This window comes from Homo sapiens, chromosome 13 (genome assembly GCF_000001405.40).
Source record: "Homo sapiens chromosome 13, GRCh38.p14 Primary Assembly".
Lineage (NCBI taxonomy): Eukaryota > Metazoa > Chordata > Mammalia > Primates > Hominidae > Homo > Homo sapiens.
Genome location: NC_000013.11, coordinates 29,309,172 through 29,334,970, shown reverse-complemented (window position 1 = coordinate 29,334,970; position 25,799 = coordinate 29,309,172). Strand labels below are relative to the sequence as shown.

Genomic DNA, 25,799 nt, shown 5'->3' with positions numbered 1-25,799 from the left:
TTTGTGCAGTTAACGCCATCATCACAGGGTCCTGAGGCAACATACACCCTCCTGAGCTTACGAAGATGACAGGATTAAGAGATTAAAGTAAAGACAGGCATAGGAAATCACAAGAGTATTGATTGGGGAAGTGATAAATATCCACGAAATCTTCACAATTTATGTTCTTCTGCCGTGGCTTCAGCCAGTCCCTCCGTTCGGGGTCCCTGACTTCCCACAACACAGGCCAACATTCAAATTCAGAAGATATAGAGAACACCACTAAGATACTCCTCGAGAAGAGCACCCCTAAGACACATAATTAGCAGATTCATCAAGGTTGAAATGAAGGAAAAAATGTTAGTAGCAGCCACAGACAAAAGTCAGGTTACCCACAAAGGGAAGCCCATCAGAATAACAGCAGATCTCTCTGCAGAAACACTACCAGCCAGAAGAGAGTGTGGGCCAATATTCAACATGCTTAAAGAAAATATTTTCCAGAATTTCATATCCAGCCAAACTAAGCTTCAAAAGTGAAGGGGAAATAAAATCCTTTACAGACAAGCAAATACTGAGAGATTTTGTCACCACCAGGCCTGCCTTACAAGAGCTCCTGAAGGAAGCATTAAACATGGAAAGGAATAACCGGTACCAGCAACTGCAAAAACATACCAAATTGTAAAGACCATTGACACCATGAAGAAACTGCATCAACTAAATGGCAGAATAACCAGCTAGCATCATAATGACAGGATCAAATTCACACATAATAATATTAACCTTAAATGTAAACGGGCTAAATGCCCCAGTTAAAAGACACAGACTGGCAAATTAGATAAAGAGTCAAGACTCTTGGTGTCCTGTATTCAGGAGACCCATCTCACGTGCAAAGACACACATAGGCTCAAAACACAGGGATGGAGGAATATTTACCAAGCAAATGGAAAGCAAAAACAAAACAAAACAAAACAAAAAAACAGGGGTTGCAATCCTAGTCTCTGATAAAACAGACTTTAAACCAACAAAGATCAAAAAAGGCAAAGAAGGGCATTATATAATGGTAACGGGATCAATGCAACAAGAAGATCTAACCATTCTAAATACATATGCTCCCAATACAGGAGCACTCAGCTTCATAAAATAAGTTCTTAGAGACCTACAAAAAGACTTAGACTCCCAAAAAATAATAGTGGGAGACTTTGACACCCCACTGTCAATATTAGACAGATCAATGAGACAGAAAATTAACACGGATATTCAGGACTTGAACTCAGCTCTGGACCAAACGGACCTAATAGTCATCTACAGAACTCTCCACCCCAAATCAACAGAATATACATTCTTCTCAGCACCACATTACACTTATTCTATAATTGACCACATAATCGGAAGTAAAAAACTCCTCAGAAAATGCAAAAGAATGTAAATCCTAAGAAACAGTCTCTCAGACCACAGTGCAATCAAATTAGAACTCAGGATTATGAAACTCACTCAAGGCCGGCTGCGGTGGCTCAAGCCTGTAATCCCAGCACTTTGGGAGGCTAAGGCATGCGGATCACCTGAGGTAGGGTGTTAGAGACCAGCCTGACCAACATGGAGAAACCCCATCTCTACTAAAAATACAAAATTAACCGGGCATGGTGGTGCATGCCTATAATCCCCACTACTTGGGAGGCTGAGGCAGGAGAATCACTTGAACCCAGGAGGTGGAGGTTACAGTCAGCTGAGATCACACCATTGCAATCCCGCCTGGGCAACAACAGTGACACTGTATCTCAAAAAAAAGAAAGAAAAGAAAAGAAACTCACTCAAAACTGCACAACTACAGAAAAATTGAACAACCTGCTCCTGAATGACTACTGGGTAAGGAATGAAATTAAAGCAAAAATAAATAAGTTCTTTGAAACCAATGAGAACAAAGACACAACGTACCAGAATCTCTGGGACACAGCTAAAGCAGTGTTTAGAGGGAAATTTATAGCACTAAATGCCCACAGGAGAAAGCGGGAAAGATCTAAAATCGACACTCTAACATCACAATTAAAAGAACTAGAGAAGGCCGGGCGCGGTGGCTCACGCCTGTAATCCCAGCACTTTGGGAGGCCGAGACGCGCAGATCACGAGGTCAGGAGATCAAGACCATCCTGGCTAACACAGTGAAACCCCGTCTCTACTAAAAATACAAAAAAATTAGCCGGGTGTAGTGGCGGGCGCCTGTAGTCCCAGCTACTCGGGAGGCTGAGGCAGGAGAATGGCATGAACCCAGGAGGTGGAGCTTGCAGTGAGCCGAGATCGCGCCACTGCACTCCAGCCTGGGCGACTGAGCGAGACTCTGTGTCCGAAAAAAAAAAAAAAAAAGAATTAGAGAAGCAAGAGCAAACAAATTCAAAAGCTAGCAGAAGACAAGAAATAACTAAGATCAGAGCAGAACTGAAGGAGACAGAGATACGAAAAACCCTTCAAAAAAATCAATGAATCCAGGAGCTTGTTTTTTGAAAAGATTAACAAATTAGATAGACCACTAGCCAGACTAATAAAGAAGAAAAGAAAGAATCAAATAGACGCAATAAAAAATGATAAAGGGGATATCACCACTGATCCCACAGAAATACAAACTACCATCCGAGAATACTATAAACACCTCTACTCAAATAAACTTGAAAATCTAGAAGAAATGGATAAATTCCTGGGCACATACACCCTCCCAATACTAAACCAGGAAGAAGTCGAATCCCTGAATAGATCAATAACAAGTTCTGAAATTGAGGCAGTAATTAATAGCCTACCAACGAAAAACGGCCCAGGACCGGATGGATTCATAGCCAAACTCTACCTGAGGTACAAAGAGGAGCTGGTACCATTCCTTCTGAAACTATTCCAAACAACAGAAAAAGAAGGACTCCTCCCTAACTCATTTTATGAGGCCAGCATCATCCTGATATCAAAACCTGTCAGAGACACAACAAAAAAAGAAAATTTCAGGCCAATATCCCTGATGAACATTAACGAGAAAATCCTCAATAAAATACTGGCAAACTGAACCCCATAGAACATCAAAAAGCTTATCCACCATGATCAACTCGGCTTTATCCCTAGGATGCAAAGCTGGTTCAACATATGCAAATCAATAAACCTAATCCATCACATAAACAGAACCAATGACAAAAACCACATGATTATCTCAATAAATGCAGAAAAGACCTTTGATAAAATTCAACAGTGCTTCATGCTAAAAACTCTCAATAAACTAGGTATTTATGGAACATATCTCAAAATACTATGAGCTATTTATGATAAACCCACAACCAATACCACACTGAATGGGCAAAAGCTGGAAGCACTCCCTTTGAAAACTGGCACAAGACAAGGATCCCCTCTCTCACCACTCCTATTCAACATAGTATTGGAAGGTTACTGTAGCCTTGTAATATAGTTTGAAGTCAGGTAGTGTGATGTCTCCAGCTTTGTTCTTTTTGCTTAGGATTGTCTTGGCTATGTGGCTCTTTTTTGGTTCCATATGAAATTTGGAAGTATTGCTCTAGCCAGGGCAATCAGGCAAGAGAAACAAATAAAGCATATTCGAACAGGAAGAGAGGGAGTCAAACTGTCTCTGCAGATTACATGATTATATATTTAGAAAACCCCATCGTCTCAGCTCCAAATATCCTTAAGCTGATAAGCAACTTCACCAAAGTCTCAGGATACACAATCAATGTGCAAAAATCACAAGCATTCCTATACACCAATACTAGACAAACAGAGAGCCAAATCATGAGTGAACTCCCATTCACAATTGCTACAAAGAGAAAAAAGTACCTAGGAAGACAACTTACAAGGGATGTGAAGGACCTCTTCAAGGAGAACTACAAACCACTGCCCAATGAAATAAGAGAGGACACAAACAAATGGAAAAACATTCCATGCTCATGGACAGAAAGAATCAGTATCATGAAAATGGCCATACTGCCCAAAGTAATTCATAGATTCAGTGCTATCCCCATCAAGCTACCATTGACTTTCTTCACATAATTAGAAAAAAACTACTTCAAATTTCATATGGAACCAAAAAAGAGCCTGCATTGCCAAGATTATCCTAATCAAAAAGAACAAAGCTGGAGGCATCACGCTACCTGACTTCAAACAATACTATAATGCTACAGTAACCAAAACAGCATGGTATTGGTACCAAAACAGATATATAGACCAATGGAAGAGAATAAAGGCCTCAGAAATAATGCCACACATCTACAACCATCTGATCTTTGACAACCCTGACAAAAACAAGCAATGGGGAAATGATTCCCTATTTAATAAATGGTGTTGGGAAAACTGGCTCGCCATATGCAGAAAACTGAAAACTGGACCCCTTCCTTACATCTTACAAAAATATTAACTCAAGATGGATTAAAGACTTAAACATAAGACCTAAACCCACAAAAACCCTAAAAGAAAACCCAGGCAATAATATTCAGGACCTAGACACAGGCAAACTTCACGACTAAAACACCAAAAGCTGTGGCAACAAAAGCCAAAATCGACAAATGGGGTCTAATTAAACTAAAGATCTTCTGCACAGCAAAAGAAACTAGCATCAGAGTGAACAGGCAACCAACAGAATGGGAGAAAATTTTGGCAATCTATCCATCTCACAGAAGGCTAATATCAAGAATCTCCAATGAACTTAAATTTAAAAGTAAAAAGCAAACAACCCCATCAAAAAGTGGGCAAAGGAAATCAACAGACACTTCTCAAAAGAAGACATTTATGTGGCCAACAAACACATGTAAAAAAAGCTGGTCATTAGCGAAATGCAAATCAAAATCACAATGAGATACCATCTCACAGCAGTTAGAATGGCGATCATTAAAAAATCAGAAAACAACAGATGCTGGAGAGGATGTGGAGAAATAGGAACGCTTTTATACTGTTGGTGGGAGTGTAAATTAGTTCAACCATTGTGGAAGACAATGTGGTGATTCCTCAAGGATCTAGAACCAGAAATACCATTTGACCCAACAATTCCATTACTGGATATATACCCAAAGAATTATCAATCATTCTATTATAAAGACACATGCAGCTAGGCGCAGTGGCTCACGCCTGTAATCCCAGCACTGTGGGAGGCTGAGATGGGTGGATCACCTGAGGTCAGGAGTTTGAGATCAGCCTGGCCAACATGGTGAAACCCCATCTCTACTAAAAATAAAAAAATTAGCCAGGTGTGGTGGCACACACCTGTAGTCCCAGCTACTCAGGAGGCTGAGGCAGGAGAATTGCTTGAACCCAGGAGGCACAGGTTGCAGTGAGCCAAGATCACACCACTGCACTCCAGCCTGGCAACAGAGTGAGACTTCATCTCAAAAAAAAAAAAAAAAAAGACACATGCACATGTATGTTTATTGCAGCACTATTCACAATAGCAAAGACTTGGAATCAACCCAAATACCCATCAGTGATAGACTGGATAAAGAAAATGTGAGACATATACACCATGGAATACTATGCAGCCATAAAAAGGATGAGTTCATGTCCTTTGCAGGGCCATGGATGGAGCTGGAAACCATCATTCTCAGCACACTTACACAGGAACAGAAACCCAGATACCACATGTTCTCACTCATAAGTGGGAGCTGAATAACAAGAACATATGGACACAGGGAGCACAGGGAGGGGAACATCACAAGCCCGGGCCTGTCAGGGGGTGGGGGGCTAGGGGAGGGATAGCATTAGGAGAAATACCTAATGCAGGTAATGGGTTCATGGGTGCAGCAAACCACCATGGCACGTGTACACCTATGTAACAAACCTGCACATCCTCTACATGTATCCCAGAACTTAAAGTATAATTTTAAAAAAGGGTATATTAAAATATTATAATAGAAATCTGTAATTATCTACCACTTACAAATATAATGAGCTGCATGCAACATAAAATAATAGTTTTTAAATGTGAGGACTATGACCTTCTTTTTCTCTTGCCCAAATTCCTATCTAAGGGCCTGGGGGAGTCACACCCTACAAACCATAAAATCTCATCAGACAGGTTTTATGAACCCTACATAATGTAGCTTGCTTTCCAACCTGACTCTGGTACACAGCATAACATGACAGATAGCAGATGCTGAAAGAAGTAAAAAAGATTTTATCCCACAGTATATTTCTTTAACGTGTTTTGAAACGGCTGCCACAGGATCATCAGACTAAAATGACCCTGCAAAGCTGTCTTTTGTGGGAATAATTTGCATCAGATTAATGTTCCATTAATGTAGTCAGACCTCTCCCTTTCTAGGCTTTCTCAGATCTGGAGAGATTAACTGAGAGCCTGAGAGCTTTGAAATCTTTAAAGAGACATTTTCCATCTATTCTCTCTGAGGGCTGCCACATATGAGGCTTCATTTACATACTAAGAACCTTGGTCTCCACAACCCCCTTAGCTTAACTCAAACATTCCTTTCTACTGATTTCAAGTTTTAGACATTAGCTTAACTATCCCAACCGTCAACTAAAGAATCCCTAAAACCCACCTATGATCTCCCCAGCCCTCTGCTTTGAGAGGTCTGGCCTTTTTAAGGCCAAACCAATGTATGCCTTCCTCATATTGATTTATGATTTTCCTGCAATTCATGTCTCCCTGAAATGTATAAAATCAAGCTGTAATCTGGCTGCTTCAGGCACACTTTATCAGGACTTCTTGAGATTGTGTGGCCTGGGCCATGGTCACTCATACTGACTCAAAATGTACCTCTTTAAACATATTTTGGCAGAATTTGGATTTTTCTATTATCAAATGTATTTTCATATATGGAAAATGAATACTATTTTTGTAAATTAATAAAATTTATAGTAATTTATAACATAAGAAAGAATTATATCCAGAATATAAAACTCTCAAAATTCAATAAGAAAACAACCCAATTTAAAAAATGGAAAAATATTTGGATAGATATTTTATCAAAGAACATATACAGCTGTCAAACACATAGAAAGATAGTCAACATTATAACATCATCAGTTATTAGCAAAAGGCAAATTAAAACCACAATGAGGTATCATGACACACCTATTAGAATGTCTATAAAAAAAGACTGATTATATTAAGGGTTGGCAAGAATGTGGAGAAACTGGAACTGTCATATACAACTGTTGAAAATGTAAAATGGTACAACCACTTTGGAAAACAGTTTGGCATTTTTAAGAAGTTAAACATGTAGCTACCATATGACCCAGCCATTTCATTCTTAGATATTTACCCAAGAGAAATGGAAGCAGATGTTCATACCAAGATTTGTACAAATCTTGTACATTTGTACAAAGATTTGGCTTTACTTATTACAGCCAAGTTCTGGGGGGAAAGCCCCAATTTCCATCAACAAGTAAATAAATAGTGATATCTATATAATAGAATTCTACGCACTAGTAAAATGGAATTGGTTATTACCAGATGGATGAATCTAAATTATGTTGAAAGAAGCCAGTAAAACTAGCATACATATTAAATGATTCCATTTATATAAAATTTTAGAAAATACAAACTAATCTCTAGTGACAGAACAGATCAGTGGTTGTCTGGGGTTTGGGGTGGGGGTGTAGAATGGTAGGCAGGTGGTATGACAAAGGGGTCCCAGGAAACTTGGAAGGTTGGTGGACATGTGTGTTATCTTGCATGGGATGATGGTTTCACAGCTGCGTACACATGGCAAAACTTACCAAGTTCTATACTTTAAGCATAGGGTAGTTTAGTATTTGTTCATTATTCCACAATAGATATGTTTTACAACTATAATGCCACAAACTTTCTTCGGTTTAGTTTTTTTGGTATAAATATTAATTTTCCATCCTTTTACTTATACATTTTTAATATTTTTATATTTTAGGAGTGTACTTTGGAAACGATCTAAAGCTAGATTTTACAGCATAAAAACGCACTTGAAACATACCTTTAGACTGTTTAATAAGGGAACACAGTCTAGTAATTTATTTTTTAAATTTTTATTTTATTTTATTTCTTTTTTGAGAAGGAATCTCAGTCTGTTGCCGAGGCTGGAGTGTAGTGGCGTGACCTTGGCTCACTGCAACCTCTGCCTCCCAGGTTCAAATGATACTCCTGCCTCAGCTTCCCAAGTAGCTGGGACTACAGGCACGCACCACCACACCTGGCTAATTTTTGTATTTTAGCAGAGACAGGGTTTCACCATGTTGGTCAGGCTGGTGTCGAACTCCTGACCTCAGGTAATCCACCCACCTCAGCCTCCCAAAGTGCTGGGATTACAGGCACGAGCCACCACGCCTGGCTCTGGTAATCTAAATCTTTGAGTTAGTTTAGAGAGTATAGTTCATGTAAGTCATTATGACATATTTGAGTTCATTTCTAATATCTTATTGTATTCTTTCAATTTCTCTCATCTCCCTCCTGGCCTTCCTTCTTTCCTTCTTTTTCCTTCCTTTATATTGATTGAATTTTTTTTAACCCCTCATTCCAATATTTTCCCATCTAGGGTTCAGAACAATATATATGTATTTTATTGCTCATCTTAGAAATTTTAACAGATATTTTAACATGGTTAAGTCTAAAATTACATATTATTTTTACTCTTTCTCTAGAATATAAGGACCTTATTTATGGTGGCTTGTTTCCTTGTGTGTGTGATTTCACATCTTAGTCGACTAAGTAGCCATAAGCACTGCAGCATTTTAAATTGGATTTTCAGAGCACAGTGGCAGCACAGACTCCAGCTCTTAAACTGCAGTGGGGCTGGCTTGTGGTCAAAGGTTCCTGGGGGAGGGCTTGCTCCCCATCCTCGGCTTCCCTCAGAGCTGGAGCTGCAATCAGTCAGTCTCCCGCAGGGTGAGTTTTCTTTTCCTTCCTTGTGCATCTGGCCAAGGTGTTACCCTTTAGAAATTCCAGATTTATGCAGGGTCCTCAGATCTCTCACCCAATTACCAGGCTTTGTCTCCTGTCCTTCACATTTACGGCTTTGACCTATTTTCCATAAATTTTAAATTAATCAGCAATTTTAATAAGTTCTCTATTCTCCATGCTGCTGGGTTAACAGTGTAGCAACTAACAATGTAAGTCCGGGACACAGATTGCTTAGGTTAAAACCAAGGCTCTACTACTTATCACCTGTGACTTTGGGCAAATTAATGAAATGTCTGTGCCTCACTTTCCTCACATGTAAAGAGAGGGGCAATAATACAACCTGTCTCACAGAGTTTTTGTGGACATTAAATCAATTAAGATATTGAAAGAGCACAGGGCAGTACCTGGCATGCAGTTAGAGCTCAAACATTAGCTGCTATTATGGCCACCATTTTTGGGCTTAAAGAAAATCTTTTGAAGTTGTGTTACATACTGTTCTACAATGGCATGAATGTCTTACAATAGGATTTCTTCTTCTTCTTCTTCCTCTTCCTCCTCCTCTTCTTCTTCTTCCTCTTCTTCCTTCTTCTTTTCTTCTCCTTCCTCCCTCCTCCTCCTCCTTCTCCTCCTCCTCCTCCTCCCTCTTCCTCTTCTTCTTTTCTTTTTTTTTTTTTTTGAGATGAAGTCTCACTCTGTCACCCAGGCTGGAGTGTGGTGGCGTGATCTCGGCTCACTGCAACCTCCACCTCTCGAGTTCAAGTGATTCTCCTGCCTCAGCCTCCCAAGTAGCTGGGACTACAGGCGAAAGCCATCACACCCAGCTATTTTTTATATTTTTAGTAGACACAGGGTTTCGCTATATTGGCTAGGCTGGTCTGGAACTCCTGACCTCAAGTGATCCACCTGCCTTGGCCTCCCAAAGTGCTGGGATTACAGGCGTGAGCCACCACGCCTGGCCAGGAATATTCATAATAAGCAATTTTTGACTTTCAAGCAACCTTATGTAGTTTATTCATATCTGAATGCAAATAAATGGTTTCCTTGCTGACAGACTAACAAATCATTTGATACCCATTATCTCTGTTCTTCTTCCTTTTAGACAATATTATTTCTTAAGGTTAGATCTTTAAAGTGTTTTCAATTGTAAATTATTTCTACTTGCTATTGGAATGGCAGATACCCCTACACAGAGAAGATTCTCCCACTGAAACATAGCATAACATCTTGTTTTTTAAGATTAAATGATGTGAACAGCTGGTTCATTTCATCTAGAGTCAGAAAACATCAGCATATGTATGTCAAGCTCTGGAACAATTGAGTAAATCACATGGGTTGGCATTGCTCCATTAATGACATCTGAATAAGATAAATTCCAAGTTCAAGTCATTCCCCCAAGGAACACATCATATTTCTTACATACCTGGTGAATGAAGCTTGGTGGTTGAAGCTGCTACTCTCTTAGGAGATGAAACAGCAGGTTTATTCGTATCTTGATCTTTCTGAGCATCTTTCTTTGTTCCTGTGTATAGTTGGAAAAGAGAAATAGGTAGAAAGTAAGCTACTTAAAATTGAAATGGCAACATAAGTTGTGGAAAGGGTGGCTTCAAGAAAGTCAAACATATCAACAAAAGAAATATTTGGGTGATTTGTTGCTATGGTCACCACCCCCTGTGCTTGATGAATGACACACTTCTTTATAGGAAAGGGAATTTAGTTTTGAGTGGTCAGGGGAGAAGTAAGGACACTGCTGTCTCTGATTTGATGAAAAACGCCCCCTTCTCTGAAGGTCACTGCCACCCCAATGACCCTGACCAAACTATCTGGGAATTAAAATTTTACATCCTCAGCCACCAATTTAGTCTGCCTGCCTCTCTCTGCCATAACAAATTTTCAGAAGACAGGGAAGGACGCTGTAGCTGCGCATAGCTGCTAATGACTTCGGCATTACCCGGAGCCAAGCCACGGGGGACATGGTCTGACTCTAATTAATTTCCATGCAGCGGGTCCACAGAGGTGACCTAGAGAGCCTTTTAGCTCTCTTGGCTGCAGCTAAGCCTTCGTGGAACTTGCTGCCAGAGCTGGTCCAGCAAAAGCATGTGGACGCTCCTCATATTGTGTCCAGCAATACCCAGGGCACAGTGCAGCTTCTCCTTTGTGTGCCGGGCACAGTGCTCACCTTCACGTCACGTTTGTCAGAAAGTCAAACAGCAGTGGATGTGAGATTAGCGAAATCACACAGACCTAGATTAACCCAAACCTGCCTTGGCTTCAGCACACTGTTAGGTCATTTCAAAAACAAAGCTTGCTTTTGTTCCTTAGATGCAGGCCATGGATGTCACCCCCATGCTCACCCCCAAACCCTGAGACCTCACTCTTCCTTCCAGAGGTAACTGCTACTAGCAATTTTGTGTTTATTCTCCCAGATTTTTTCCTAGGTATTTATAAATATACACACATATACAAATACAGCTATTAGATAAATATATGAAATAAACATTGCAATTTCTTTTTACCTACCCACATTTTTGGAGATCTTTTTCTTATCAGTGTATTTACAGATTTTTTTAAAAAGAGCCATATCAGGCTGGGCGTGGTGGCTCACGCCTGTCATCCCAGCACTTTGGGAGGCCGAGGCAGGCGGATCACGAGGTCAGGAGATCGAGACAATCCTGGCTAACACGGTGAAACCCCGTCTTTACTAAAAATTACAAAAAATTAGCCAGGCATGGTGGTGGGCACCTGTAGTCCCAGCTACACGGGAGGCTGAGGCAGGAGAATGGCGTGAACCCAGGAGGTGGCGCTTGCAGTGAGCCGAGATCACGCCACTGCACTCCAGCCTGGGAGACAGAGTGATACTCTGTCTCAAAAAAAAAAAAGCCACATCATACAAATGGACAAAGACATACTGTAATTCAGTTCACCATCGTCTTATGGATGAGCATTTAGATTGTTACAAGTTTAGCCACTGAAATAGCTTCTACTTGTTTCTTTGTACACACAGACCAGGATCTTCAGAGGACAAATGCACAGAATTGCTTTTGCTGGATTCAGTCTGCTCATTTGCAGTATTGCTATGCACAGTCCAATTGTCAACAAAAGGATCCACTAATTCATATTCCCAACAAACAGTGTCTGAGAACAGCTCTTCCAACATGCCCCATGCCCTACTGACACTGAAGTCTCAATCATTTAATCGATTCATTTAGTTAAGCAATCATTTAATTGATATGTGCCACCATATCAGATAGTGTAGCCCTAGATGACCTCACAGCCATACTGCTGTCACTGTCCCTGCCCACATCTGCCAGCCACAATGCCAGCCTTGTTGGTCCCCAAACATGCCATGCTTCCTCCTGTGGCTTGAGTTCCTCTGCACAGAATATTCTTCCTCTAGCCCTTAAGCATGGCTCATCCATCCATTCAGGAGGTCTCAGCACAGCAAGGTCTCCTCACCATGCCTGGTGCTCCAACTACTGTGGCCCTCTCATCACCTGCCAGTTTCCCCTTCACCCGCTTCATTCTTCCTCACAGCATTTGTCACTGCCCAACAATCTATTCTATCCTCACCTGTTTGCTTAGTGTCTGCCGTCCCCACCAGAACACAAACTTTGACCCAGATAGGGTCTAAGCGTGTACCCCTCCAACCCCTGCTCTCCTCCGGGCTTCTTTCCAGGAGGTCTGCCCAGGCATTTCAGGGCTCACAGAAGGCTGGACCTTCCAGGTATGGAAAGCCCAGCCACTGCACTCTGCTGAAGTCACGGGTACCCCTCAGGGTACCCACTATATGGCTAAGCTCCCCATTCTTTTCCTTCACTTGGCTTTGATTTTAGGTATCAACAAATATGGAAAGACACTAAGACTCCTGAAAGCTGAGAAGGGAAATGTTAAAGTCCCCAAATCTGCACTAAACCTAATGTTTTGTGCTTAAAGGAAAACAAAATACAATTATTTATTTAGCCTTTCAGTGTTTTCCATTCAGCTTTCATGGAGCACAATTTGAATTTTATCAAAAATGCAAATATTGATAGTTTTGACCCTGCAATTCCACTTCTATAAATCTCTCTTGGAAACACTTCTACAAGTATGCAAAAACATAAATTATAACATATATAACATAAGTTATATGAACTGTGGCATATTCAAACCAGGGAGTACTATGCAGCCATTAAAAAGGATGTCATAGCTCTATATTGTACTGGCATGGAAAGCTGCCCATGATAAATTAAAAAGCTAGTTGAACAGCATGCATGGAATTACCCCATTTTCATAACACAAAATGTCATATGTATTATGCTTAGAAATAAGTAAAAATATCTGAAAGATAAGGTACCAAACTTTTAATAATGGTTACTTCTAATCAGTAGGATTTAGGAGCTTTTACTTTTTATTTTAATATGCTTCTGCATTAGTTCCATATTTTGTAATCATCACATATTACTTGTATAATAACTAATAAGCAAAAAGGAGAGAAACCAAACCACTAATGAAAATAATTTGTCTGATCCATAAAAGGATAAGGACAGATAAGTCTAGTCCAAGCAGTCCTATAGGAATAACTCAAATCGAAAGTTTTACCCTCCCTTTGCTGGCAAAACTTACCATAGGAACACAAGGCTACCTGGAGAACTCTTGTATGGTCTGGGAATTCTTGATAGCACAGATAATTACAGAGATGAATCAAGACCTTCTGTTCTTCTTGCCATTTTTTTTACAATCTAGACTCAGCCTAAATGTCTTCTAAATACACGGTAAGCTTTCGTTTCACTCAATGAGATCCCTGAGTGTCTAGAAATGCTAGTGTGGTCTTTGGTCTCATGTTTTCCTACTGCCTCCCGGCTGTTGTCTCAGCCTTCTTGGCTACTCTGTCTTCTTTCCTTAGACCTGGACCAAGGTATCCCCAGTGCAGCCTCAGCCTTCTCCTGTCCAGTCTTCTGAGTGAGCTTATCCATTCAACAGGCTCACATCACCAACTTATGTACACTGATGACCACATCTGTGATTTCCAATCCAGGTAGGCCCAGATACCTCTCCTGGGATCCAGACCTGTTTTCAGCTGCCAAATAGACATTACTGCTTATCTATTTGATGACAAAAAACACTGTTCCCCAAATGGAGCTGGTTAACTTCTTCTCAAACCTATTCTCTGTCCTATATTTTCTCTCCTAGTCAATTGTCCTCCCAGTCACTGAAACCAGAAACAAGTCAGTCTTCTTCCTCATCCTACCATATCTAGCAGTGATGAGGTCTTTCTGACCTTCAGTAGCTCCTAAGTCTGGCCCCTGATTCATTCTCACTTTGTACCTCAGCTCAGTCCTCATTTCTTGTTGGGACAACTACAAAATTCTCTTCAGTAATTTCTGTCTTGTGCCTTAACCTCTGCATCTTTACCTAACTCACCCTCCTTAGCACTGCCAGAAAGACCTTAAGCCTTTAACAAGATCCCATGATTTTACTGTTAAAACCTTTCCAAAGCTTACCCTGGGCTTCAGTAGGAAGTCCCAACTCCATGGTGTGGGGTAAGCATCCTCCAGGATCTCCTGTCCTCTGCCAGGTGCCCCTGCTGTTTCCATGTGACCCTGGGTGTCTCAGCCTGTGCTGTTCACGGAGGCTGAGTGCTCAGCCTCTCCCTTGTCTGCCTGGCCTACTCCAGGTCATCTTCAATTTCAGCTCATTCTGTTTTAGTTTTCCCATTACCACTGTAACAAATTATCACTTAGCAGTTTCAGACAACACAAGTTTATTCTCTTCTAGTTCTGGAGGTCAGAAGTCTGAAATCAGGCTCACTGGGCTGAAGCCAAGGGGTCGGCCAGGCTGGTGCCTTCTAGACTCTCCAGGGGAGAGTCCGTTTCCTTGCCTTGTTCGCCTCTCGTGGCTTCCTTCATTCCTTGGCTGGTGGCCCCTTCTCCCATCTTGAAAGCAATCACTCCGATCCCTGCTTCCTGCATCATGTCTTTCTAATTCCTCCTGCCTCTCTCTTACAAGGATGCTTATGATGACATTGTCTCTATCTGGGTAATCCAGGATAATCTCCCCATCTCAACATCCTGAACTTCATGCAAAGTCCCTTTTGCCCTATAAGGTAACATTGATAGGTTCTGGTGATTCATACATGGACATATTCAGGGGCCAGTATTCAGCGTACTGCAGCTTCCCTGTCTAACTGAATGGCTCAATGACGAAACTCTTTTTACTCACCAAAAACTCACTAACTGCTTGGTCTCTATTAGTCCCTGGAGTCCCTGACACTTATTTATGAAGTTTTTCCTTATTTTTTTTTTAGCTTTCTTGAATAGCAGTATTTCCTTAGACCCTATTCAGCTTTCCCTGATCTCTTTCCCCCAGTGCAGACTCTGTGCGGCTAAGGCTAGCGGGCATCTCGTACTAGGCCTGACAGCTCCTTTGAACAGCACCCCTGCTGACCTTTGGGGAATCAACCCTTCCCTCCTCTTGTTTCATGTGGTCAGAGTAGCGGCCTGATGCACCAGGGCCTGGAGGGGGCGTACAACACAGGCCTGCTGGATCAGAGCTCTGCACCGCTCTGGTGTTACACAGTATCCTGGCTTGAGAATGAAACAAGATGTGAGTTGGGACGATGACAGCCCTACCTCGGGAATTTTGCTGGATTTACTAGACAAAAATTCTCTACTCGATAGATGCCCAAGCTGGCAGGATATGGGCCTGGAGCAGCTGCTGATCATCTTTGTTCCCATGTGGGGAGAGCCTTTCTGAGGATGAGCCAAGAGAGGGGAACAAGGGGCCAGGAGATGAAAATGCATTCCTGCCGCTGCGGTTGAAGTCCCCCCTGGGGGACAGTCGTGCCTCACGTCACCATGACCTCCGGAACCTCTCAGTTCTGTGAGCCCAAAATCCCTCTGCCCTTTTGCTTTCTTGTTGCCTAAGGCAGTTTGAATTAGGTTTCTCTAATATGAAACCAAAAAAGAGCTGAATAATACAATGCCGGCCAGAGAAAATAGCTCCTTAATCAATAAATGCACAGGCTCTTCTCTCATGGGGCCGTATGTTGGTCAAGAAGGCTCCTCGTGTGCCTTATCTATACGGAGATTCAGAGCTACATGAAAGAATGTTTGTACACAAACCCCAGAGCACTGGGGCTTTTGCCGGGAAGGAAGAAGGCAGCAGGAGGGAAAGAAATGCCAGCCTCAGTCTGGTCTCAGAAGAGAAGCCCTTAAGTTTAATTTGAAATACTGGCACTGATTATATTCACCCAATGCCAATCACTACAAACCCAGATGGTCCTAGACTGTTTCGCCATAGTGTAGCAAGAAGCATCTCAAAAGCCTACAGGGGTGGGTGCTGCCTAGCAATCCATAGAGAGTGTCTCAGAAAAGAGAAGGAGAGTGTAAAAGCTCAGTTTCTCCCGTGGACAAGGGCCTTCCACAATGCTATCAGTGGCTTCGACAACAGCTGGCAGAAGCACCATTGTGTATTTTATTCCTGAACCGGACATCATAAAAGTGACTTACAACTTGTTTATTACAAATGCTTAAAACAAAGACCAATTGCAAAGGAGCCATGAAAACATGACTTGTGGGCCCTAAAGCTGCCCAATCAAGAGTGATGGCTCAATGTGTCAATTATAGATTTTAAAAAATGAGGAAACTCTTTTTACTCACCAGAAAGTCACTAACTGCTTGGTCTCCATTAGTCCCCTGAGTCCCTGAACATAAACAAGAATAACGGCTCACTCTGAGGACGAGGCTGTCATCTCAAAAAAAAAAAGAAAAAGAAATAACAAATGATAATAGCTAATTCAGGATCCTCACTGAGCACATCTCAATGGGAAAACAAGATTTAAGAGAATGCTATATACTTTTTTTAATAAAAAGAAATCAGCACATCAAAAAAAAAAAAAACCTAAAACATTTTTATAGGCTCTTAATCTCACATACAATAGGCTGCAAATTCCTGCAAGTAAATCTCAATATAAGTAAGAAAAGATAAGAAACAGAAAGGATAAAGAAATATATACAGCAACAGACTTTATCCCCTAAGTATCTGAAGTTTTCCCTCCACTTGCCTGTGAAAGCACATGCCACGGGGCTGACCCTGCCCTGGCCCCACAGATCAGCTCCCACACAGGGAACACGAGGATTGCAGACGCAGACGGAGCAAAGCAAGAAGAGGGAAAAGCAAAGGTGGCCACAACGCAAGTGATGATAATCACTCCAGTGTAACTGGAAGGAGGTGAACAGAAAACATGAATGATGTAATCAGAAAAGACAGATTCTGATGCCATTTGTAAGATGAATTGAATGGGAACAGTTCAAGGTAGGATTTATAGGGATTGGATAGAATGAAGAAAGGAAACATTATCTCGATCAGAATATATCAAATAAAAGAGGAAACCTGGATGAGTTATAAACTAAAGAGAGAGGCCGGGCGCGGTGGCTCACGCCTGTAATCCCAGCACTTTGGGAGGCCGAGGCGGGTGGATCACGAGGTCAGGAGATGGAGACCATCCTGGCTAACAAGGTGAAACCCCGTCTCTACTAAAAATACAAAAAATTAGCCGGGCGCGGTGGCGGGCGCCTGTAGTCCCAGCTACTCGGGAGGCTGAGGCAGGAGAATGGCGTGAACCCGGGAAGCGGAGCTTGCAGTGAGCCGAGATTGCGCCACTGCAGTCCGCAGTCCGGCCTGGGCGACAGAGCGAGACTCCGTCTCAAAAAAAAAAAAAAAAAGAGAGAGAGAGAGCGCGCGCACAAGCGAACTCAGGAGAGTTAGATGCAAGGACTAGAGGAAAGGAAATCAGTTTTCAGCTGCCAATAGTAATTTTTTAAATATTAAGAGGAATATCTGATATTGAGGCACTAAAGTTAATAGGAGAAACAATCTGAATACTGGGAAGGTGGATTTTAACCTATTTAAGGTTTGTTCCATTTCAACACACATGTACTGCATGCATGAAGGTAGAAATTGTAGCTAGGAATTTAAGGGAGAATAGGGAGGTTTCTGTATTCAAATAGAGGCCTAGAAAAATTAGGCCTCCATTAGAAGCCTAATTATTACCTGGATAAGACTAAGGGATAATTAATTCTGAAGATTATTATGAAAAGATAAGGACAGAAGAGTGAACAAGTGGTTTTTGAAATATATGTATGTGTAAAAGCTTTGTAAATTCCCCCCCAAGCCCAATAAATTCACTGATCAATTCATTACTAAGCACAAATAACCTGTAAGGCACTGTCCTAGTGAAAGACACAGGTATGAGCTGTAACGGAAGTTACACTTTTGGGGGAAATATTTATCATAAGCATTTATAAACAGCAGATGCCAGGTTGCAGTTGCTTCTGTGTATGTTACCTCACCTGACACCTGTCCAAACTCTGTGGGTATTATTGGTATTACTGGTTTGCAAATGAAGGAACTGAAGGTACGGAGTTTGTAACATATCTGCATTTACCAGTATGTGCCTGAACCTGCAACTTCTGGCCCTACTTAGCCTGCATTTCACTACACTGCAGTGGCCTCAGTGAGTCCTGAGAAGTAACAAGTTCTACTGCCTGCCTGCTCACCTGCCCATAGAAGCACAATGGATCCAAGTAGAGTCTGATTCCATTTGAAGGAAAGAAGCAAGGGGCAGGGGTGAGAAAGCTTAGAAGAGAGTCGGGGTGTTGGGGAGAGGGCAGGAAGGCGGTGACTAAGAGACCAGGAAATGGCTTAAGCCATTTGTTTTCAAATGCTGGGGGCCAGCAAATCCCAACATTCTTTCCATCCCTGGCCCCAACCTTTCTACCTCTGATGCTTCCTCCATACTATGTGGAACTCCTTCTTCCTTTGGTAAAAAAATCTCCATCCCCTACCTTTGTCCTCAATCTCTCTCAGAGCAGTTTTCTCAAATGGTTGCCACTGGTGCTTTTCCTCCACATCCAACTATGTCCTGGTCAGGAGGTCTCCTTCAAACTCTCAAATACCCCACTAGAACATGAGGCCCCACACGTGTGTAAAGTACCTTTCCTTTGAGGTTCCAAGGTTCTTGCTGGCTAATTGAACACTATTCTTACAGCATGGTTACTGTCCCTCACACCCCCCAGGTGCAGTCTTCCCCTTTACCCTCAGGTCCTGACAGTGGCAATCCCCAATGCATGACTCATCCAGCATGCCAGCTTTCAGTTCTTTGACACCTGCAACCCAAGAGGCACCCTGAATCAAGACCCTGGGCATCACCATGGACCTTGTCATCACCTTAAACTTCGCCTCTGAAATTCACATATCCTTCTTTCTGGTTACAACCTTCTATCCCCTTGCCATCTCACTATGCTGTTGCCTCTCTATCAATTCATATCTACAACTCAGACTATAATCCCTTTCCCCACACCATCAGTCTCCTTCTGTCTTCACCTCACTTATTATTCAACCTAAAGTTTACACCAGATTCCTTTACTTCTACTACCTTATTAGTCACATGCTTGCTCTCATTTCACAGAGACAACAGACACTACCATGGTCAGAACTGTCTGCAGAACCCAACCCTAGCTCAATCCAGTTGTCACCCTTTTCTAGCCCAGCTGAGCACACAATGACACAGATAGGGACATCAAATTTATAGTCACCAGGTATCACTGTGGCCACAGCACAGTCCAGCAATTAATTCTTCCATTTTTTCCTTTTCATTCTTTGCATACCTTTTAAAAAATGATTTTTATTATTCTAATTGGCACATAGTAATTGTACATATGTATGGGGTACAGAGTGATATTTTGGAACATGTAAACAATATGCGGTGATCAAATTGGGATAACTAGCATACCCATCACCTCACACATAGATCATTTCTTTGTGTTGGGACCATGCCAGATCCTCTCTTCTAGCTACTTGAAAATATGCAATAGTGTATAATTAACTAGAGTCACCCTACAGTTTTATAGAACACTAGAACTGATTCCTTCTAACTGTAATTTTGCATTCATTAACTCATCTCTTATTGTCTCTCCTCCCTACCCTTCCCAATTTCTAGTACCCACTATTCTATTCTCTAGTTCTAAGAGATCAACTTTTTTAGATTCCACATATAAGTGAGAACATGTGATATCTGGCTTTCCGTGCCTGGCTTATTTCACTTAACATAATGTCCTCCAAGCTCATCCATGTTGCCATAAATGATAAAACTCGATTCTTTTTAATGGATGAATGGTATTCCATTGTGTATATGTACCACGTTTTCTTTATTCATTCATCTGTTGATGGACAAGGTTGATTCAACATCTTGGCTATTGTGAATAGTGTTGCAATAAACACAAGAGTCCAGATACCTCTACAATGTTCTGATCTCCTTTCCTTTGGATATATACCCAGTAGTAGAACTGCTAGATCATATGGTAGAAAACTATTTTTTAAAACAAAGTTCTGTACTGATACCTTTCTGAAAGGTCATTCTGCAAGGTTTTAAACAACAACAAAAACCACCCAGTAGTATCTTGTCTTATCCCTCCATACGCTTTCATACTCATCACTTCCACATTTTAAGCTGTTTTCTCTATTCATCTCCATAGATATAAGTAACATGTTTATAATGCTACTTCTTGATATTTACATTTTACATATATTTCAGTAACTTCTTATTACAGCAAATGACAATTTTCTTTCTCTGCAGGCTCCCTTCCACACTACCTCCCCCATCATTGCAATACAGTTGTACCATTTTTGGTTACGTCAAAATTCAGTTCACCTTGTTTAAACCAAATATAAATATTATTTACAACTGAACCATCTTCTTGTCTGACTTTTGTTTTCCCTGGGTTTAATAGCTGCCTTGGTTTTTGTTTGCTCAGTTTTCTATGTATATATTGCTAATTCTCCCACAAGTTCTCCATCAGCATATAACTTTCCTCTCACAATTATGACATGTAAGGTTATACCTCAGTGTGGTTTTGTTTTCTTAGAGCCATTCTTCCTGGAGCCCTCAATTCTCCATTTCATTCTAGACTGGTCATTTCTAGGGCTGTGGCATGGCTGTTATTTGAGTCACATCATCATTCTGGGAAATTCCTTTGCTTTCTTCCTACTTCAGGTTCCTATGCCTTCCTCTTTCTTGGTCTGCTTCCTTACTTTGGTAGAGCACATTTTTTTTTAAGTTCCTGAAGAAAGGTATACATGAGGTAAATTACCTGACAGCTTCCAAAGCTGAAGATTTCTTCATCCAACTGGTTGCTTGGCTGAGTGTGGAATTTTAACGTGGCACATGGCAGTCATTTCCCCCAGAAATGCTAAGGCATTTCTCTTTTAACTTCCAGGGTTGCTACTGATAAGCCTACTGATGCTATTCTAAATCTCAGCCTTTTGTGTGTGATCTGTCTGCTCTCTTGGGAAGTTCTTGGTGCCTTCTCCTTTTCCCCAGCGTTGTAAAATTTCATGCTGATGTGTCTTGCTCTGGATCTTTTTGTATCCATTATGCTGGACACTTAGGGGGCCTTTTAATCTGTAAACTCTCATTCTGCAGTTCTGGGAAATTTTCTTGATATGTTGCTTCATAATTACCTCTCCTCTGATTTCTCTGTTGTTTTTATGGAACTCCTAATATTTGTGTTCCATATATGTGTATACACATATACATGTAGACATATATCTTATTATACATCTTATCTCTCTATATAATCTCCAACCTATAGATGAATGTTTCTCTTCGGATATCTCCCATGCACATCACACTCCATATGTCCAAAATTGAACTCACTGTCACCTAACAAAACCTCTTTTCATTTTTAGCTTCCCTAACTTGGTAAATGTGCTTTTTTGCCCAAGCCATAAATAATGATCTTGCCTTCATCTCCTCCCTCTCTCACTTCTTTATGCTCAATAAAATGCCAAATCTTTTGAAATATACATCTTGTTGTCTGTCTTAAATCTAGTCCACTTTTTTTTTCCACAGTCACTGCAACTTCGTAATTCACACCAGTGCCATGCCTCCTGTAGGGAGAGCTCTGCAGCAGCCTCCTCCCTCTACTCCAACACATCCTTCACTCCTCAGCCTGCTGTTCTAAAGCTCTGGGGCCACAGCTTTACTACACTATGGGTTGAATGCCTTCTCACCTGTCCATATTCCCCATTAGACAATACACTTCACAAGCATTGCCCACTCAGTAAATATTTGTAAATAAATGAGTTGGTTATTATTACTAACTAATCACATTCTTCCCCCATGGAAAATAACATGAACCTTGAGATTAGGTGAATTCCTGACATTTTGAAATAGCTTTTTATCTTTCTTGTTTCTTCCTAGTACCTCTCTATCCCCACATAATAAACAGGCATGTTGTAAATGATCAATGAGAAATCCCTGTACATACTGCTTGAAACAAAATGAGTAAAGCTCTGAATATGATGGATTTGTAGGAAGAAAATAATCCAGTTCTCTTGGGGAATCAGGACTTTGCATGATCTATTAGATACTGAGAGCATGTGAATAAGTAACTAGTGGTAATAAATACTTTGCATTTTTAAAGCTACACAGGTAGATGTTTGAATTTTATTCACTGTGGCAGTTTTCATTAAGCCAAATAAAAGAAATGATCTGGATTATTTGTCTCTTTCTACCCAATAATTTATTTTCACCATTAATTCAAAAGCACAATAAAATTGTGCCCTTTTTAAAGCTAACATTCTCCCCGTATAAATTTAAAAATCCCTAATGTAGTCTATTTAGTATTAAGTGTCCTCATATTAGATCCTGTAGTTTTACTTGAAAGCCTGCCTCATCCTTTTAAAAATTTTTGGAGATATCATTTTCTTGAAAGAGCTCAAGCATTCCTTTATTCATTCATTTATCATATATTTATTGGTTGGCTACATCGTACTTGATATGGTATTAGCTGTTGGAGATTTCAAAGTGAAAAGACAGAATCCTCAGCTCTAGGAATTCACCAATTAGTGGGACATGTAAATAAGTAATGACAAGATATTGTAGCAAGCACCAGCCCAGAGGTTTGGGCAAAGATTTCTCTCTGGGAGCATGGAGGAGGAGCCAGGTAAGGCTTCAGTGAAGAAGGTTATGTTTGAGCTGAGACATGAAGTATGCGAGACTTGTCAAGAGGGCAAGGGCGCTGCAGAGCAGTGGGGTTGGAGGGATGTGGGGGCAGTGATCACGTGCAAAGGTACCGGAGTGAAGGGACAGCAGGTCAGGGAGAGCAGGGTAGGGAATGAGGCTGGAGGTTTGTTTTTGAGCCCAGCCTACATTGTCTCTAGCCCTCTATGATGTCCCACTTCACTAGACCAAGGCAAATATTCTTACTAAGTTTCCCTCCAGTGAGTCTGAACTCCCCTGAAACTCCAACTGGAGGCTAAATAAGACTACCTTTGATTAGATAGTAATTGAACAATTTTTTGCCTTCTTTTTTATAAATGGGAAACTTTGTGATTGAAGTTGCCACTGAATGGAAACAATGACTAATAAACAAATAGAAAGTAAACAATATGTTAAACTGTCTTTGGCTTCTATTGCTTATGGTTTAAACTAAGTTATCTGGCTAGGATGTCAGATTGAGACTCAGCCATCCAAGGTACATAAGTATTAAGATAAGTTATTTCCTTTCTTATAAAAGGACACGTATTCATTAGAGAGAAGTACAAAAAATACACTTTTTCTTCATTTGCATCATATTCTCAACCAGCCATAACCATTTAAATGCATTATTTCAAACCAAATTATACATATTCATTCACATATTTTTCTTAATCAACTACTATAATATAGTTTTAAACATATCTATTATAAAATACAATACTTAACACTTATCTGTGCAGTTTAACACATAATTATAAAACAAACATCCATGCAATTGTTACCCAGGTGAGGAGTGGGAATAGAAGATCACTGGCAGCCAGAGGGATGTCAGGTCTCAACCCCGCCTTTCCATTCGAGGAAACAACTGTCAAGAAGTCTGTAGTGATCATGTCTTGCTTTTCCTCATAGTTTTACCACTTCACCTGTGGCGGTAACAATATCCTGAAGTCTGTTTACAAACTTGACGTGGATGAAACCACACTGTCTGGATTCTGTGGTCTTGCAATTTCTACTACACATTGTACTTGTAATTTTCATCCACATGTAGCCCCAGTTCATCATTTGCATTGACAAATAATGATCCATTGTGTGCATACATCACAATAGATTCATTTATTCTAACATCAATGAAAGTTTGAGTTGCTCCCACTTCTAGTTTTTGGCCATTATGAACAATGCTGCTTTGAACAGGCTTGTCCATGTCTCTAGATACACATGTATGAATTTCTCATATATCTATGAGCAGAAACCCTAAATTATGGCACACATGGAAGTTTACTAGACAACACTAAATTATTTCCCAAAGTGGCTGTGTCAATTTCTCCTTTCCCACCAGCACTGTATGAGAGTTCCCCATGTACATCTTCACTAATATTTAAAAGGTCAGATTTTTAAAATGTCACCATTCTAATGGATATACACCTCGCTGTGATTTGAATTGCATTCTTCTGATTACTGATGATGGTCAGCACTATTTAAATATGCTTATTGGCTATTTGATTTTTTTACTTTTGTGGAGTGTTGACCAAATCTTTTTGTTCCTTTTTTGTCTGCCTTTTTGTGCACTCACTTGTAAGGGTTGCAATATGTAACCTTTTTAAAGCTTTATCATCTTTCATAATATTCATCTACACTATTTTTTCCAAGTGTAAACTAAATACTAACTTAGTTGTTTAAATCATAATTCACAGTTGAGACAGTAGCCACTAAAAAGTAGAAGTGGTAATTACGAATATCAATTATTTTCAAGTTGGAGGTGGAATTAGGTAAAAGACACAATGAAGAGGTTGTTCAGCATATGATTAAGGGCCCAGACATTCAGCTTTACTGTGTCCTTAGCTGTGTGACCTGAGGCAGGTTACTTGAACTCTCTGAGCATTTGTTTCCTCCTGTGTAAAATAGGTGACAACAGTAGCTACTCCACAAGGTTATTGTGAGAATAAAATGGGACTGTGGATTAAGAGCGCTTAGCATAAAACTAACACAACTGAACTCATGGAGATAGAGAACAGAATGAAGGTTACCAGAGGCTGGGAAGGGTAGTGGGGTTGCAGGCAATTGGGGATGATTAATGGATACAAAAATATAGTTAGATAGAATAAATAGGATCTAGTATTTGATAGGACAACAGGGTGACTACTGTCAACAATAATTTTTTGTATATTTAAAAATAATGAAAAGAGGATAACTGAATTGTTTGTAACATAAAGAAAGGATAAATGCTTGAGGTGATGGAGACCTCATTTACCCTGATGTGACCATTGCACATTGTATGCCTGTATCAAAACATGGCATGTACCCCATAAATATATACACCTACTATGTACACACAAAAATTAAAAATAAGTGCTTAGCATAATGCCAGGCCCTTATTAAGCATGCAAAATGGTATTTCTTAGCAATATTATTATAAATATTTATTTAGAACCTACTATGTGGTCTGAATGTTTGTGTCACTCAAAAATTCACATGTTGAAATCTAAATTTTTTTACACAACAAATGTTCATATTATTTCATTATTTTGTTCTTCAAGTTCAGGAGTACATGTGCAGGATGTGCAGGTTTGTTACATAGGTAAACATATGCCATGGTGGTTTGCTGCACAAACCATCCCATCACCTAGGTATTAAGCCCGGCATCCATTAGCTATTCTTCCTGATGCTTTCCCTCCCCCCATCCTCCACCCCACAGGCCCCAGTGTGTGTTGACCCCATCATGTATCCATGTGTTCTCATTATTCAGCACCTACTTATAAGTGAGAACATGTGGTGTTTGGTTTTCTGTTCTTGTATTAGTTTTCTGAGGATAATGGCTTCCAACTCCATCTGTGTCCCTGCAAAGGACATGATCTCATTCCTTTTTATGGCTGCATAGTATCCCATAGTGTATATATATGCACCACATTTTCTTTATCCAGTCTATCATTGATGGGAATTTGGGTT

The 25,799-nt window shown here is 40.6% G+C and overlaps 1 protein-coding gene across 12 annotated transcripts in view; it reads right to left on the bottom strand.

The window, feature by feature from the left end:
- Positions 1-25,799, bottom strand: part of MTUS2 (microtubule associated scaffold protein 2) — a 685,985-nt gene that overhangs the window by 170,977 nt on the left and 489,209 nt on the right. For all 12 annotated transcript variants that reach the window (XM_047430227.1, NM_001384605.1, XM_011535019.4 and 9 more), the window contains one exon: positions 10,260-10,358. In XM_047430227.1, coding sequence (XP_047286183.1) covers positions 10,260-10,358 — 99 coding nt within the window. The remainder of the gene's footprint in view (positions 1-10,259; positions 10,359-25,799) is intronic.